The sequence below is a fragment of the Homo sapiens genome, chromosome 18, assembly GCF_000001405.40.
Source record: "Homo sapiens chromosome 18, GRCh38.p14 Primary Assembly".
Taxonomy (NCBI): domain Eukaryota; kingdom Metazoa; phylum Chordata; class Mammalia; order Primates; family Hominidae; genus Homo; species Homo sapiens.
The window spans coordinates 8,360,066-8,377,315 of NC_000018.10; the positions used below are offsets into that span (position 1 = coordinate 8,360,066).

The following is a 17,250-nucleotide window of genomic DNA, read 5'->3' on the forward strand; positions in this document are numbered from 1 at the left end:
TAGGACCAAAGAAACAGAAAAATCCAGTAACTGGTTTTAGATAGAGCCTTTACACAACTGCGTTCAGACTAACAAAGTGGCAAAGACATCAGTATCTCTACTTTAGTTTCATGAACTAAGGAAATAAATAAGGAGAAATGTAATTCAGTAGGCTACAGACAACCAGAATTCACTGCCTCAGAATTTTTTCACTGAAAGTGCCTGCCACATGTCTAAGACCAGAGAAAGACAGCAACTTATGCATAAGCTACCACTCCCTGTCTGTAGGACCAGGTTTCTAGCAGTGAGAAGGTGGAACGGGTCTGGACACACCTCTGCCGTGAAATCTATGCAAAAAAAACCCTTCATACCCGACAAGAAGATAGTGTGTCAGTTGCTTCCCTATGCCTGAATTACAGGTTTGTAGAGCTCAGGACAAGGAACGTGCATTTGGGTAACATTATTTGAAAATTGTGGGGGTGCTGCTGAGTTCCAAAAGTGGACTGGTCACCTTGGCCAATACTAGCTGAGGAAGCAGAGGTGAGTTAGCCCCCTGGTATTGCACTGGATTACTTGCTAGGACTTTGTATAAAGAAGCACAGTCTGAAACAGACGCACTGCAGGAGACCAGGGATGAACAGTGGGGAACACTGCCTGCAGAAGGGGATGTGAAAAGAAGCTGGGAGTAGATGTTTCAACACCCGACACTGTTTGGATTTACATCTTTTAGCTTTAGAGTGTCTACTGTAAAATAGAAGCAGAACTCTTATCACTTAAAATTGTAAGTAAACAGATGTCTTTATTCTAGAGTAACATAGCACATTTGTTATCTCACCAAAAATAGATTCTTTTCTGATGTTGTAGAGTAGAGAATCTGAAACCAACAGTGTACGTGTAGGAGCTTCAATCCATTCAACTGGTGGCATCATATACTTCACATCCTTAGGACTGCTTATGTGATGTGCAGTCAAGGATTGGGCAGGTCATATATCATGTCACTCCATCCTTCAATGCCTTTTGATCTGTTTAGCAGCTCCTTGTGACAACCTAAGGAAGAGGGTGAGGGTGGTGAGACTCAGATTGACCCGTGTCTTTTGTAAATTCTTCTTCCTTTCTTCCTTCCTTCACCCCTAGAGCCCTTTATTTCCTCAAAGAGATGAACTGGGACAGGTACGCACTTCAGACTGTCTCAGAGGCATTTAGCCCTGATTAATGCCTCTGAAATTAAAGCTTGTTATCTTCCTAATACTGATACAGACCATAAAGCATTGTGTGTTACAATAAATGGAGCACCCGGAGCTCTATACTGAGTGCTGTTCCCTTCTCGATAGCAGAAGTGCTGGGGGATGGTGACCACCACTAACAGTTACTGGACATTTCTTATGGGTAAGTCAATGTGGTGAGTCTTTAGCTCATCAGAGTGATTAAGAAATAGACATGATTGTTATTCTATTCTCCAGATAATAAACAAACTTAAAAGACATTAATAAATTGGTCCAACTTCATACAGCTAGTTAATGTGGGACCCAGGATTTGAACTCTGGAACCCATGCTCCTGACTCCTAAGGCTTCCAAAGAACCACATTCTAGAATCACATAATCAGATAACTGTAGGACTCAGAATACCTTTAACAATCATATGGTCTTGTATCCTCTTTTGCCAGTAAGGAAACTGAGTACTAGAATGGTTCAGTGACTTGCACAAGATCACAGAGCTAGATTGGAACACAGCTAGGATTAGCCCCAAGCCCTCCTGCCTGCCTGCCAGGCTTCTTTCTGTTACAGCACACTGTGTCATCATTAAATGTTCATTTTTAAGATAGGCTACAAAAACTTTATCCGAGGTTCTTAAAAATAAAATGTTATCCTTCTATCTAGAAGAAAAGAATATCGTGTGTGTGTTTCAAGAACTTTCCCAGGTCTTGACTAAGTCAGAGAGGTCACATCTTGGCAACTTGGGAGACACAGGAGACCCAGTGCCTGAGCTCACCAGCTCTAGGAACCCTGATATGTGCCTGTTATCCTGCCACCCCAGTCCTGAAGCTGCTGCCCTCTTCTCAAGCAGTGTGAAGGATCCAAGCAAGCCGCTGGTGATGGGGTTGCCAGACACCTAGTCCTGGGTGATCCCCGGCCCCAACTGCTCCCAGCTCTGCCATATCCGACCTACTCACACATCCCTTGTCGCAATTAGTTCGCACCTTGCACTTAGCAGCCCATCCCAGCAGGGCAGCTGCCTCAGCTGCAGAGAGCCCCATGGTGGTGGCAGTGATTACATACACCTACACAAAGGAACTAGGTACCCTTTAAAAACACTGCTCCTACAGAAAACCCATTCCTGTGTCTTCCTGCTCCTGTTGAATACAAACTTTCCTTCCCAATACAATTCCCTTTATTTCAAAGTGTAGCATCAAAGTGCAGCAAGAAGGGCCTCAGAAGCAGCTGACGGTCACAAAATAGTGACTGCTTCCTGCTGCTGTCGGAGGATCGCGCCCTCCCAGCCCCCACCTGCCAGAGCCTCAAGACCACTCCAGCTGCCCTCTGCCAACTCCCCAAGTCTAGAATATCCCTCTCTTCCATATCCACCCATAGAAACAGCACTCCATATTTCTGTCTCATTTGTAAGGTAGTTTCCCTTATGAAGCTTTGCATACCTTTCTTTGGAATTAGCATACTTCTGACTGCCAACAGCAGTTTTCATTTTTAAAATTTTAATGAACATTTACTTGTGCTGAGCATGTTCTAGGTGCTTTACAAGGAAAAGAATTGAGTTAATATTCATAACAACTCTCTTAGCCCATTTTACAGATGGGAAAATGGAGCCAAAGTCACACAGCTAATAAATGGGACCTGGCTTTGAACCCAGACAGTGCGGCTCCAGGGAATGTGCTCTTGACCAGTCAGCTTGCCCCTTATTCTGCCTTGAGTTGAGTTTGTTGTTTACACATCTGTCTCTTAGTGACTATTAGAACTATGTCTCCTTGCTCTCTGCATCCCCAGCAATGCCCAGTCCGGGCTCTGCTTGTCATGCGCTTTCAGGGCTGTCTGAATGACTGGCAGGACAGCCTGGACACCACAGCCCGGAGCTAAGCACAGGATTTCCCTCATTGCAGCCACAGTGTTGGTCCCTTAGGTCTCCTATCTCTTAATCTCTCCCAGCTTTACGTTATGTGTTTGTAAAATAAGGATAATAGTACTTACCCCACAAAGTTAATGGGAGCGGGCGTATAATCAGATAGCGTTAGGAGTTGGAATCGTTTTCACCAGCATGTGATCTAGTCTTTGGCACATAAGGAAACTGAGGGCCAGAACGGTTCTGTGACTGGCACAAAGTCGTAGATCTATACTGTGACCCTGACACATGTGAAGACTGACAATGACAGAAAATACGGATTTCTTTTCTCAACAGATATATCATGTACCACTCTAAGAAATGTCCTCTCTGATGTACCTGGCGGCATATATATGTATTCTAATAATGTCATTGCTCAAAAGATTTCTGAAGTTCTTATTTCAGAGTAATCTGTAGAGTAGTATGTGACACTCTCTGTTTATTGCCCTTGCTGGTGGCAAATCTCCCTCCCCTGGCAGGAGGACTTACATTTGGGGAATAGCTAAAAGTCAAGCTGAACCTCTTGAATAAGATGGGGAACAAGCAGTGGAAATAACATGTCTCCTGAAAGTCTGGTTGTAGTTTGAGTGATGCTGCTTTCTGATTAAGTTTTCATCAAGATGAGGTAAGAGAGAAAAGTAACAAGACAGATTTCTCGTGTGGTTTGTAGGATAACACTTAAAATTCCACAAGGGGACCAGGCTGCATGTTTCTTTACAGCTGATGAAAACCAGCGTTGTGGGTACAGATGCGGCCTTGTGCTTATAAGTATTGTATGCCCATTAAATAACAACATTAACGAATAGATGCAATTGGAAAACAGACGCTTTGTGAGGGTACTTTAAGGCAGGACCGTAAAGGCATGAAAGAGGGATTTACTTATGATATGAAGTTATTTCCCAAACTGAAACTATCCAGACTTCCAGAAGCTCTTGATGTAGTGCCAGTTTTGAAATAATCTTCAAGGATGTTTCCCAAGGAAGGTCCCCCTTCCAAATAAAGCCAGTATGAAAGGAAGAATCTAGGAAAGCTATGATAAGCCAGGTACTTAATCAGCAACTTTATATATACTTTAAAAAATCTCATCTAATCTTCACACCCTCCCTAAGAAGTTAATAATAGGATCTCATATTATGCATGAGAAAACAGGCTCGGGGTGGAAGTCATGGAAGTCACCTGCCGCATGAGAAGACTGAGGCTCAGGGGGTGTAAGTCACTTGCTGCAACATCACAAGGTAGATGGAAAAAAAATCCATGTGCATCTTACTCCATCACACTGAGACCAGAGCAATCTGTGTTCTCAGGATATTTAAATGAGTAATATTTTATTCCTGTGAGACCTCTAAACCAAAAGGTTTGGGGATACAATAAATCTGTTATCTTGGAAACAAAGCTGGCAGCTGCTCTTGGCTGGGCTCTATGTGGTAGCTGTGCTTCATGGCAGTGTTTTTGCTCTCACTATCCAATATCCATCCACCCTCTTCTCAGCGGGCCCAAACACAACTATTAATAGAAGTATGGATACTCGGTTTGGATATCTCTTTCAAAACAAAGAAGAGTCTCTTAAAAACTCTTGAGAAATCAAAACTTGTAACTGCCTTATTCTTTTTCATCCCTTCTTCCCCTTTAAAGTTGTATTTATTGGATCACATTATGGTGCCCCCAACTTAAGAGCTAACAAGTACATTTCTTAGTCCTTCTTCATCATGGGTTTCTTAGCAAAATGAGTACTCATGCGCATGCACATAAACACACCTTCAGTTCTGCCCAGACTCCTTCCTGTGGATGGGGAGAGTTGCTGACACAGGAGGCAGAGTAGAAACGCAGCAGCTTGTGCTAATGGAAAAAGGAGGATGATGGTTTCAGAGCATGCATTCTGCTCTCCTGCCCACCCCTCCACCCGTCTCCAGTTCTGCCCCCAAAAAGGCAGCTGAAGTCATTTCAAGGCTTCCTACTTTGTTTCTGTTCCAGAGGCCAAGCCTCCTGGTAAGACTGAGGAAAGCGTAAAGCACCTTGAGTTCCATCCTCCCAAAGGGCCCTGTAGCTGGAGTCAGAGCCTGCGTTTCAGCCTCTCCTTCACCACCATCTAATTTATTGCCTTGAGCAAGCCACTTGCACTCCCTAGGCCTGCCTGTTGCTTCTTCCTTCCAGAGCACGAGGAAATACAAGGAATGAAAAGGATCGAGACCAGCCTGGCCCTTGCTAGGTCTCTTCTGGGCAAATCACATGCTCTTCCATCCACTAAGTGAGGCCACAGATGTCAGAATGCAGCCATCCAGTGTGTCCAGTTCAAAGTAGAAACTGCTCGGTGGATGGGAGTTGCAATGATCTTGAAAATGAGTGTTTGGAAATTGACTGTCTCTGAGATTCCTCGCAGCTATATTTGATTTGAATCCCCTTCCCCAAAACCACCTATTGTGTTGGGAGTTAATCAAACCACACTGATAGGCAAATGGACATGCCAATCTCTCTCTCCCTCTCTCCCTCTCTCTCCTCTTGTCAGATAAGGTTTGAGGGAGAGAGGAATCAGCAGGGGTTCCCCCTAGCTGTCCCTCCACCATCATAAGCCATGCACAATTGTCAGTACTCACCTCTGCCCTCCTCCTTCTCCGGGACACCCTGCCTCCTCTCTCCAGGCCTCCATGGGCTCCTTGGCCTCTGAATTCCTGTAGACATCTAGAGTCCAGATCACAAAACAATCACTTAATAGTCGGAATTTTCATTTGTTCAATTTCCATTTTTGGATAAACTGGGCACATGGCTAAATGTTTTCATCACATTGTATCAATTAATCCAGTGGTTCCCAAATGTATCTACACTTCAGAATGGCCTGGGGAGAGGGGGGCTTCAATAAACTACTGATACCTCTGTCCCACCCCAGAAATTATGATTTAATTAGAGTATGGCCTGGGCTGTAGAATTTGTTAAGACCTCCCTCCCCCCAGCTAAGTGATTCTAATGTGCAGGCAAATTTGGGAACTGCTGACTTCTTAGAACTCTCTGCCATAGGACTTATAATCATGTCCTATTTACAGATGAAGCTCCTGCAGTTGAGCAAACTCCAGTGAGCCCCTCAAGCTCACGTCCACACTGCGTGAGAGCCAGCACTCCAGCCTGGCAAGACTGCAGCTGTGCTGTCTCAATCCTTGCTACCCACAGTGTGGTCCAGAGACCACAGCATCACCTGGGAGCTTGTTCAAAGCGCACATTTTCAGGCCCCACAAAGTCAGACCTACCGAATTTATTCAGAATCCCTCCAAGGGAGTCTCATGCCTGCTTCACTTTGATAACGGCTGCTGTAGTCATGTCAAATGCCCTGAAGGTTACAGTCATGTGCTGGCAGCCTCGGGAGCCACAGCTCTGGCCCCTAGCCATCCTCTGACTTTAATTTACCTGAGTATTATCTGGGCTGCTGGTTTAAAATGACCCACCTCAAAGATCTTTTTTCAGGAAGTTAGAAATCCTGGAGTTATAGCGTTTCTGTGCTGTTTCGTGTTTGTGAGTTTTAAAGCCAATAAGGATCACCCCTTTGGAGCAGGGACCACACATCTATTCCTGCCGCCCTCTGGCAGTAATGAGCAGGTGGCAGGGCTCGGGACTGTTAGCCTGATTGATGGCCTGGTGGAACCACCACCAGGGCACTAAGGTAATTAGACGATCTGTTTCTGGACCTTGCTTTCTGGGCTGGAGGCTGCCGCCTTACGTGATTAGGATGCGTGGGAGGCGCCGCCTCTCCTAGAAGCTGTGCAGGTAGCGCTGGGCTGCAGGAGGCAGCCAAGCCAGGCGCACGATCAGAGCAGGGACGCCTCCCGTTCCTTGGTTCCTGGGCTCCAACGGGCACCTCCAAACCAATAGTTCCAGCATCTCTGTATGCAGACCTTAGAGGACAGGAAGCGACTGCGAGCCCCACACTCTCCAGACACGGAAACTCTAAATGCAGAGAGAACGAAGCATATTTTGTCTTCCTTTTCCTTTTTTTTTTTAAGCAAAATAATAACTTGACACAAGTCCAAGTAGTTAAAAAGATACTAAAAGAAACCCAATTTAGAAGGGCTTTTAGTAGGCTGAAAACAGATGTGGCAAACCATTTCGGGATATTCTGGGAGATGAGATGGGGAGGACCGGATTCGAAATGCCTGGGCCGCCTGTTCTGGGCCCGCCCCGCCAGGTGCCTGTGCTCGGGAGGGGCCTTGCCCAGCACGCATTCTAGAAGGAAGCGGCCCCGCGCCTCCTCCCTCGCAATTACCGCCGGGTCGGAGGCATCCGGGCGGTGCGAAGTCAGCACCGTGCCGAGCAGTTGAGAGCAGACGGTGTTTTCTTTTCATTGTTCCCTCGCTTCGCTGGGAGAGCGGCGGCACCTGTTCCGCGGAAGCGCGGCCAAAGTTGGAAGCCCTGGCGGCTGCTGCCTGCAGCCGACGCGCGGGGGCGCCCGGCTTCATCCGGCCGCGGGGGACCAGGAGCCTGAGAGCCTGGAACTGGGTGCGGGGGGACAGCCAGCCCGAGAGGGCCCAGGGTCGGATTTCGGATGGAACCAGAGCTCGCTCCAGGGAGTTGAAGGAGTTGGGAGCGCATCTCCCAATAATCCCAAAGAAACCGAGCTTTCAGTGCATGCAAGGGGCATTTGATTTCCCTCATTTCTGAGCACTGAAGCACTCCACTGTCATATTTTTGAAATTCGAGAACAAGGAGGTTAAAGAGTCTAAATGGAAGACTAGGTGACCATCCAAAATATCATACATCAATTGCATCTTGTAATTAGTAAAATCATTTTTATTACTTAAGGTAAATCTTGATAAGGTGTTTTTATTAGGTAAGATAAACCTGGTATAACATACGTTGCGGGTGTGTGTGTTTTGTTCAGTTGTCATTTTCAGAGAAATAAATGAATTTTTAAAGTGTATATTTATTCATCAATAATTATTTTTAAAGTGTGCCTGTATACCATATATGTAGTTTTATATCTATCCCACTACCTTCTGCTTGCATAACTGAAGTCACAAAAAGGTAAAAACTAATCCCCCAATATACAGAAGAATCTAGTATGTCCCATAAAAGCATCTTTGCTAACTGGCATCGTGAAAGTATGGTGCTGGACACTCTTGAAATGAAATCATTGTTACTGTCAAATTAGACATCTCCACAAATATACATGATCTGCTCAAACTGACTTTACATCTGGGAAAGGAGAAATTGTAGGTCTCTCTTACTCTGGGATATTTTTGATAGAGCAAAGGTATCCATGATGTAAATTTCTGAGATATTATAGATAAGCCCTTTATAAAGTCACAAATAATATTCCCATAATGAGGGGGGAAAAGATTCCAAAGAAGGCTGAGCACTTACTGAGGGCAGGGACCATCATTGTCTCCTGCTTTACAGTATCTGCAACTCCTAGCATATCTGGTTTACGTCTTGCCAACTAAAGGTAATGAGGCTTCCCTGGAAGGGCACTGAATCCATGGCCAGAAAGTTTCACAAGGAGGCAGCTGAAATAACCAGCCACATAGCTCATGGGGGAACATCAGTGCACCTCAGGGGGTTGGCATTCTGGGAGAGGTCCTCTCAGCTCAGATTTCTTTTGTAAACTTTCCCAGTCTGGGACTTTCCTTCCTACACTGATCCTATGACTCTGCATAAAATTCAGTTTTATATGTATACATTGCATATTTAGTGCACACAGGACACAGCGATCAGGTGTTGCAGGGTTTGCAGAAATAAGCAAAACAACACCCTTTATGTGCTGGCCAGGAATAAGTTTACAGTCAAACAGTGCAAGAAGGGCATCATACCAGGGTCAGAACAAGCATGTTTCATCAGGGCAGCAAAAAGAGCTCACATCTATGGAGGAGTCTTTGAAGGAGTGCAGCGTGTGAGATGTACTTTAAAGAATGCAAAAAATCTTCAACTGGGAAGAAATGGATGGGAGGAGAATATTCTGAACAGAAGGAATGGTGCGAGTAGGAGTTTGGATCATGGGGTATGTTTGGGGAACAGGGCAAACACTTGTCCTTGAACATAAAATATATGTGCATAGAAAAGAGAGCTATAAAAGATAAGGCTGGAAATGCTGGTTGGGGCCATATTTAAAAACTCGTTCTTACCTGCCTGGCCAAATAATTTGTATTTAGTTTCAGAAAGTAGTTAGAAATAGGAGATTCTTGAGCAGAACAAGTAAATAGCACTGGGATTACACATTGAGAGAGTTTTTGTGGTATTGGGACACATAGAATGCCCATGCAGGAAGACAGTAGAGCCTGAATTTAGGATTGTGGCAGAGGGATTAAGAAGTTGGAAAATACACTTTGAGAGCTGCTTCAAAGACACTCCTAGCCTTGGCAAATGGTTGGGTTTGCGAGAAGGAATGGGTTGGTTAAGGGAATCATAGCAGTCACATAGGAAGTCAGGAAGAGCGCAGTGACTGTGGGGCAAAGAATTCTCTTTTAGACTTATGGTCTTTGAGGTGCTGGCAGGACCTCCAAGGGAAGATGCTCACAGAAGAAGTTAGAAATCAAATTCAGAAGGTTGGGCACAGCGGCCCATGCCTGTAACCTCAACACTTTTCGAGGCCAAGGCAGGAGGATCGCTTGAGGCCAGGAGTTCAAGACCTGGCAGCATAGCAAGACCCCATTGCTATAAAAAATAAAAGATTAGCTGGGCATGGTGACATGTGCTTGTAGTCCTAGTTACTTGGGAGGCTGAGGAGGGAAGATCGCTTGAGCCCAAGGATTCAAGATTATAGTGGGCTGCGATCACGCCACTGCACTCCAGCCTAGATGGCAGAGCAAGACCCTGTCTCTAAAAAAGAAAACAAAACAAAAACAAATAAAAAACATTAAATTCAGCACATGGAGAAACAGGGCTAGAGTTACAGAATAGAAATTCATCCATGGAGGGGCAGGGACAGGAATAGATGAAAATGCCAGGAATCCTGGGGAGGCAGAAGAGGCCAAGGACAGAGCTTTGAGGTGGTCACGTGTTCCTGCCCAGCCTCTGGTCCTGCTCTCCTCTCGTTGATGTCTAGAAAAACATTCTTACCAAAAAAAAAAAAAAAAATACAATTTGCTAGGAGAATTTCAAAAATATGACAGTGGAGTGCTTCAGTGCTCAGAAATGAGGGAAATCAAATGCCCCTTGCATGCAAAATTCTTCCACCTGAGATTAGTTAGAGGCTTCAGACAATATGGAAAGACAATTTCAGATTTTAGGAAGTTTTGTTTATTGAATTTATTTATACTAAAATGAATCTGTAGTTCTAATTTGGGAAAATGACTTAGCTACTTCCTTCAGAAAAAATATAATTCTAATCTTTAGTGTTCAATCTGATTTTCTGCCCACTCCTCCTAAAAAGTTTTCAATCACTTTCTGAAACTAGAAATAATTCAAAAGAAGAGCTAAAATATTGCAAACTTCCTTCACAGTTTATTTTTGCAGGCCGTTCTCTGAGTAGAGATGCACAGGAAATGAATGGTTACAGTAACTGGGATGTTTGTGGTAAAAATACAATTTTTTAAACTTAGACCATTTTTCCAGGTTTTACGTCTCCCATAACTCAAATATTGTTTTCTTCTGAGAAGAATAAAAACACAGGTGATCTACAAAAAATAGACCTTCCTCTTGAGTATACAATTAACTTTTGTGTGCAAATTTTGTCCTATAAATCATAGTGTGACCCATCATGGGAGGAACTCCAAAAAAACCAAACTGTAAACCCATAATTTCTTTTATGTTTTCTAAAGGTCAAATGCTGCAAATACTGGCCAGATGACACAGAGATATATAAAGACATTAAAGTTACCCTAATAGAAACAGAACTACTGGCAGAATATGTGATAAGAACATTTGCTGTTGAAAAGGTAAGTTTTCATACTGCTTTTAAAAGCTATGGTCAGACACTAGTGGTACCATACTAGCCTCATTAACTTACCTAGGATACTTTACACATGCTCATATCTCAATGCAGGTAGGCTCTATCTGATGGTTTCTCAAGATTGCATCTTGCTCTCTGATTCTATAACAGCTCAGTTCCATCTTTAAAACAAATCATTCTCATTTCATAAGAATCTATATTTTGCAAGTAAACCAAAAGTTAATGTCTATTTGTTTATTTTCTTTCCCTGGTTGATATTGTTCTGCCCGTCTCTCTTTCTTTGTTCACAGAACAAAGTTTGCTAAATTTTGATAAATGTCCTTCCAGTTTGGTAAATTTCCTTCATGGTGTATGTCGATATGCATTTTCCAGTAGGGAGTTAGTATCAGTGTTGAGACACAGGTCCTAACTCCTCCTGGAATCTCTCACTTCCTTGTGGCTTTCGAAACCTCTGGTTTAATGTGGACTGATGGATTTTCCAGGTGGAAGTGACCTACCTGGAAACCTAAGTGACTGATCTCCATCAGACATGGGACACTCTTGCATGAACCAGCGCATTCATTCATGCTCACTCCCATACTGGTTTTCCCCTTTTGTAGTTGCTGGTGTTGGGTCGGTGAATGTTCTGCTTTGGTTCTGCCCTGCCTCATCCCATGTGCATGGATGGGGCTTCTTCTCTGGGATGCACTGTAGGGCATAACAGGGAATTTCCTTATTCCCCCTCTTTCTGCTGACATAGGGAGGGGCCGGAGGTGAAGCAAACTGCAGTCCATCCAGAGAAGTGTCACAGGTAGGCTCTGGGGAAAGTGGAGGTGATGTGGCTGAGGAACACTCTGCCTTCCAAAGATCCACAGACTTTTCTATCCAGAGTTGATTCTCCATAACCGAGCCCTGCACAGCTGCCCTGGACTTAGGGATCTTGGTGTGAATTTGTTAGCTTCTACTCATGTAATAGTAGCAGGTCTTCTTGGAAGACCTGGGTTATAGGCAGATTGCTAGGGAATTGGATTTTGGCCTTCCTCTCCACTCTATATTCTTTTTTTTTTTTTTTTTTTTTTTTTTAAGACGGAGTCTCGCTCTGTCGCCCAGGCCGGACTGCGGACTGCAGTGGCGCAATCTCGGCTCACTGCAAGCTCCGCTTCCCGGGTTCACGCCATTCTCCTGCCTCAGCCTCCCGAGTAGCTGGGACTACAGGCGCCCGCCACCGCGCCCGGCTAATTTTTTGTATTTTTTTTAGTAGAGACGGGGTTTCACCTTGTTAGCCAGGATGGTCTCGATCTCCTGACCTCATGATCCACCCGCCTCGGCCTCCCAAAGTGCTGGGATTACAGGCGTGAGCCACCGCGCCCGGCCTCCACTCTATATTCTCACTGCATCTAAATGCGCTTTTTAGATGAACAAGACCAGTTTTAGGAAATCAAGGAAATTGCAACATCTGCTTATTGGCTAATTTAGTCTGATGTTTTGAACTACCTTTCCTGGTTTGCAGATCCAAATTTGTCATAGAATCACAAAGCTGGAAAGACTTTATTTTAATCTGTTTCTCATACTATTTAGCATTTTTTTTCTTAGCCTGTCTTTTTTAATAAGCAGGCAGAAAGCTTGGAGACTTCAAAGAATGAGGAGTTCTGGTTGACTCAGTTCTTCAAGTTCTGAACCTCACACTTTGATGTCAATTTTTTCCTTCTTAGGCAGAATTGGAAAAAAAAAAAAACACATGGAGGATTTTTGTATGGCTGTTGGCAAGAGCACTCATGAATAACCGCATTAAAACAGCGATAAAAGACCCTCAATATTTTTTTCTTTAAAAAAAAATCCAAAAGCCATCATTTAAACATGGAGTTTTTTTGAACAATAGTCAGCTCTCTAATAAGCTGAAAATGCACCTCTGTAGCTAAAGGAAGGGTTTGTTTGTTTCTTTCCTCTTTTTTTTTAACCTCTTATTGTACTCCCCTGAATTCCCAGCTGCACAGAAATGTGTCTGAAATATCCAGTCATTTTAGTCACTAGACAACCAGTGAAGAGGTGGTGGAGGGAAGAGAAGGAATAAGGAGCTTGTTAATGCATTTGGGGAAATCAAAATGACACATTAGTGATTTTCTAACCGGGCAATTGGAATCTTTAAGGAAAACAAATCATTAGTACTTTTGTAGAGCATTTCTTATAGGTTTTAAACTTTCTCATTAGAAAGGAAAGAAGAGAACAGGTAAGCATGTACTTTGAGATGCCTGCAATTCTGATTCTATTTTGAGAGCATGTTGCATCGAGGGACCTAAAGGTGAAAGTGGATTAGGGCTCTGCTCTGCAAAACAAGCAGATGCAATGCACTTTGGAACTCATGAATTCCTGCTTTGCATCTGATTGTTGTCTTTTATTTCCCACATAGCTGATGATTCCAAGCTAAACAGATTTTAAATAATACACAGTACCCAGAGTGTCAGAAGGAAGACACCCCTGAAGTCTCCATGCATTTAGGCTGTCTGGTGAATCTATCCCTGACTATTCTGGGAGAAACAAAGTTGACAATGGTCACTGAATTCTCGCTACCCAGGAGCTGCCTAGGATTCAGAAAGGGCATGAGAAGATGATCCTCCTGTCTCCAAGACAGAACATGTATTATACAAGACAGAACATGACTATTCATTTCACAAGTATTTCTTAAGCACCCACTTCAGGCCAGGGACTATTGTATGACTTGGATCAAAATTAAGTGACTAACTGGGTGTGGTGGCTCATGCCTGTTAATCTCAGCACTTTGGGAGACTGAGGCTAAAGGATCGCCTGAGCCCGAGAGTTCAAGACTGCAGTGACCCATGATTGCGCCATTGCACTGCAGCCTGGGCAACAGAATGAGACCCTGTCTCGGAAAAAAAAAAAAAAAATTAAGTGACTCTCACATTTTTGTATATAACATTAATGCTTGTTATGATGAAAAACCAGGAAGTAATAGTATCAAATTGGGAGGTATTTGGGCTGTGATAACTGATGACATCTATGATGTTCTTCCCCAAATGTATTACATTCCAAAACAGAAAAAAGGAGACACTGCTATGTCAATGAACAAGAATGAAAACTGGATCAGAAGCCGTTTCCTTTGCCACTCTTGTCAATAGCAAACATATTCAAGGGTGGAGGTTTAATTTTGAGAAATGTTTTCTACTTTCCAGAAACTGATATTTACCTTGCTCAGAAAAAGAGTCTTAGATCAGTTAAGAGCTGTAGTTCAGCACTTGAGGTTGCTGGAACTGAAATCTAACAAAGCTAGAGAGAGAAGCACACCCCATGCTCCCACTCCCCAAAAACCCCACACCCCAAAAACCCACCAGGACATGGAGAAAGATATGCCCCTTTTTTCCCCTTTGGAATAAAGTATTTACCGTCAATAAGCTTTCCCAGTTCATATATGGGAATGCATACCACCAAAATGGGATCACTCCTATGTGGGTCATCATGCAGAAAGCTGGGGGAGCTTTCTAGGGGTTTTGAGGGTGACACAGCCTCAGCTGTATGTTTTCTAAGGGAGACCATGGCACTGGCAAACATTCCCTTGGTTTTAGGGATAAGGAATTTGGGCTCCTAACCACCTAATCATACTACTCTGGGATCACAGAGCCTATTTAGCAGACAACAATATTGATTTGCATTTGTGAATCCCCGACTGCTTAATTCCTTATAGCTTAAACTCTAGTAAAGAATGGCATTTTCACAGAGAAGTAAAGCTTCAGCATTTGTGGGTTATTAAATGAAGACATGTTAACACATGGGTGCCAAGGAAGTCTTATCTCGAAATCTGCAGTTGTTTGCTTTTCTGGTCTTTCAAAGCACATAAAAATTCTGAATTTCTTCTTTGCTCACTAAGTATGTGTGAACAATGATTGATGGTGAAAGTGATGAGGTTAATGAGTGTTTACTTTTAAGATACAATAAAACCAAATGCAGAAATGGTTCAGAAAATGATCATGGAATGAGAGAAGGAAGAAAGTCTAATTTGATCCTAGATGTACATCCAGCGTTGATTCCGGTTTTGTTTTCAAAACAGTCTTTTGCTTTAAAACACAGTCTTAATATATAGGCTTATACTTAGAAAACAAAATTGACAGGTATAAATTACCTTAATTATTCTCAAAACAAAAGTAAATTAAAACCAAGAGCAAACCGTAAAGTCTCTTTCTTTCTGCCTTCACTACAGTTGAGTGGCAGGCAGCTCCCCTTCGATTTACTGACCTAGCCTAGAATTCCAGCAAAAATATCTTTCGATTCCCATAGTATGTATTGGCTTACATGCCTGTTTGCCACAAGCAGACTGTGACAGCCACTCAAAAACATATTTCTGTAGCCCTAGCACCTCCCATAATGCCTGGGGCAGTGTAGTCACTCAGATTGCTAGCAATTGGATGAATGGGTAAAATATTTACCCACATTAAAAAGAGAAACCTAACAAACAGAGCTGTAAATGCAAATGAGCTCTCTGACCTGTCTAGTTGGAAAGGTGTCCTCATTCATTCCTACTGCAAGCATCATCTGAGCATGCTCAGTGAGTGTGCACCACTCCAGTCCCTGCTGTGAGAGGTACCAGGATGCCGGAAAGCCCCAACACGGAGTTGGTATTGAGCACACAGACATCCTTTAATTTCTTCAGGCCCCTCTTCTGTGCCTCTTTCTCTACAGACTCTCACCTCACCAGCCACCTTGTGATCTAAGTGAGACAAACCTTTAACATAGTCTACTTTTTAGAAAGGAATTTCAAACAACCCAACCAATTCATCCATTTGCTGGAATTACACCTAAAAATTAGCATTTTCCCCAAACATCATCCCCCTTTCATACCCAGACATCTTCCTAAGGGTACAATGCCTTCCACATTGTGTGTGAGATCTAAGGATGGCCTCTTTCCCCAGCAGTCCACTGTTTCCTGGCCCTAGACTTGCTACCTGGGGACTGTTTCCACTCCCCCAGCTATCCCTGCTTATTTGTGGTTTGTTTTCCCTTGTTCTCTTCCTTGTTCTGGCTAACCAACTACTGCAGAGAGGTGTGCATGAAATCCGAGAGATCAGACAGTTTCACTTCACTGGCTGGCCGGATCATGGGGTCCCCTACCATGCCACCGGCCTGCTGGGATTCGTGCGGCAAGTCAAGTCCAAGAGCCCGCCCAGTGCAGGCCCACTGGTGGTGCACTGCAGGTAAGCAGAGCTCCAGAGCCTCTTGAAGGAAACGCAGTGGGTGATGGGTGCAGGGCCACCTTTGGGGATGATGAGTATGTTTTAGAACTTCAGAGGGGTGATGATTGCACAACATTTTGGGAGCACTAAATGCCACTGGAGTGTACCTTTTAAGAGGTTTAATTTTATATTATGTAAATTTCACCTCGATAAAAAATTTAAAAAGCAGCAGCAGCAGTGTGGTCCTTCTTCCTCCACTGACAGACCCCCCTTTTCATTCAGTGCTGGTGCAGGGAGGACTGGCTGTTTCATCGTCATTGATATCATGTTGGACATGGCCGAAAGGGAAGGGGTCGTAGACATCTACAACTGCGTCAGGGAGCTGCGGTCACGGAGGGTGAACATGGTGCAAACAGAGGTACTCCCGCTCATCACCTAGCCTGGGGCCTTGGTCCCTGGGCTCCCTCCTGCATCTCCCCATTTCAGGGCCAAGGGCACAAGGAATCCAGGCAATTATCTGTTCAAGTGATCTACCTGGCATTCCCTGTTCCTTCCCTCCCTCCCTCCCTTCCCCCTTTTTGTTTTTCCTCTCATAAACAAACCAAACAAACCCAGGAGTTTTCCAGGTAACAGAATCAAGAGCCCAAATTTGCACACTTTTCTGTATTAAGGGACCCAAAAAAGTCTCTGTTAAGTGCTCAGACTTTCAATACCATTTCCTTTTATTATCTCTTTTAAACTAGCTGGTAACCAGAGCAAGACCGCTCCTGAGAATAGTGGCTGAAGGGTTATCTCTGTGCACTTTGTTCTTCTCCCAGGGTCCTGGGAAGAACAGAAGCCTCCTGACCCTAAAAATTCTGCCCAGTGTCTGGCGTCCTGGGGATTTGCCCATTTTGTGAAGTACTGTATACTAACTAGTAACTCTGTAAGTGGAAATTCAAGGTATATCGGGAATTTCCATTTTTTCAGAAGCAATGTTACATCCTGCTCTTAGGACATTCGTATTTTTACTCATATTTGATTGTTTTAAGTAGGCGTCACACCGACCACCTGGAAAATGATTCATGAAGTGAAGTGAAGAAGAAGTAAGAATCCCTTACATTTAGATGGTGCATTTAAGTTTATGAAAGCCTCTG

At 43.8% G+C, this 17,250-nt stretch overlaps 1 protein-coding gene and 1 long non-coding RNA gene across 30 annotated transcripts in view, besides 1 other annotated feature; one reads left to right on the forward strand and one right to left on the reverse strand.

Moving 5' to 3' along the window:
- PTPRM (protein tyrosine phosphatase receptor type M) overlaps window positions 1-17,250 on the forward strand; it is an 839,541-nt gene that overhangs the window by 792,750 nt on the left and 29,541 nt on the right. For 15 of the 29 annotated variants that reach the window (XM_047437715.1, NM_001105244.2, XM_047437717.1 and 12 more), the window contains 3 exons: window positions 10,825-10,941; window positions 15,981-16,135; window positions 16,397-16,532. In XM_047437715.1, coding sequence (XP_047293671.1) covers window positions 10,825-10,941; window positions 15,981-16,135; window positions 16,397-16,532 — 408 coding nt within the window. Of the gene's footprint in view, window positions 1-10,824; window positions 10,942-11,694; window positions 11,746-15,980; window positions 16,136-16,396; window positions 16,533-17,250 lie in introns of all 29 variants that reach the window. The other 14 variants (XM_011525708.3, XM_011525712.3, XM_047437714.1 and 11 more) reach the window with 1 other exon arrangement.
- Window positions 755-6,969, reverse strand: LOC100192426 (uncharacterized). The gene is made up of 4 exons (NR_024419.1): window positions 6,792-6,969; window positions 5,680-5,764; window positions 4,844-4,924; window positions 755-1,026 (listed from the first exon to the last, which is right to left on the reverse strand). It is a non-coding gene; the product is annotated as an uncharacterized LOC100192426 (long non-coding RNA).
- Window positions 7,282-7,782: an enhancer, noted in NCBI's record as "H3K4me1 hESC enhancer chr18:8367345-8367845 (GRCh37/hg19 assembly coordinates)". NCBI's record gives its function as "activates a minimal SCP1, AML or CMV promoter by ChIP-STARR-seq in naive H9 embryonic stem cells {active_cell/tissue: H9 hESC(naive)}" and the evidence as "EXISTENCE:reporter gene assay evidence [ECO:0000049][PMID:30033119]".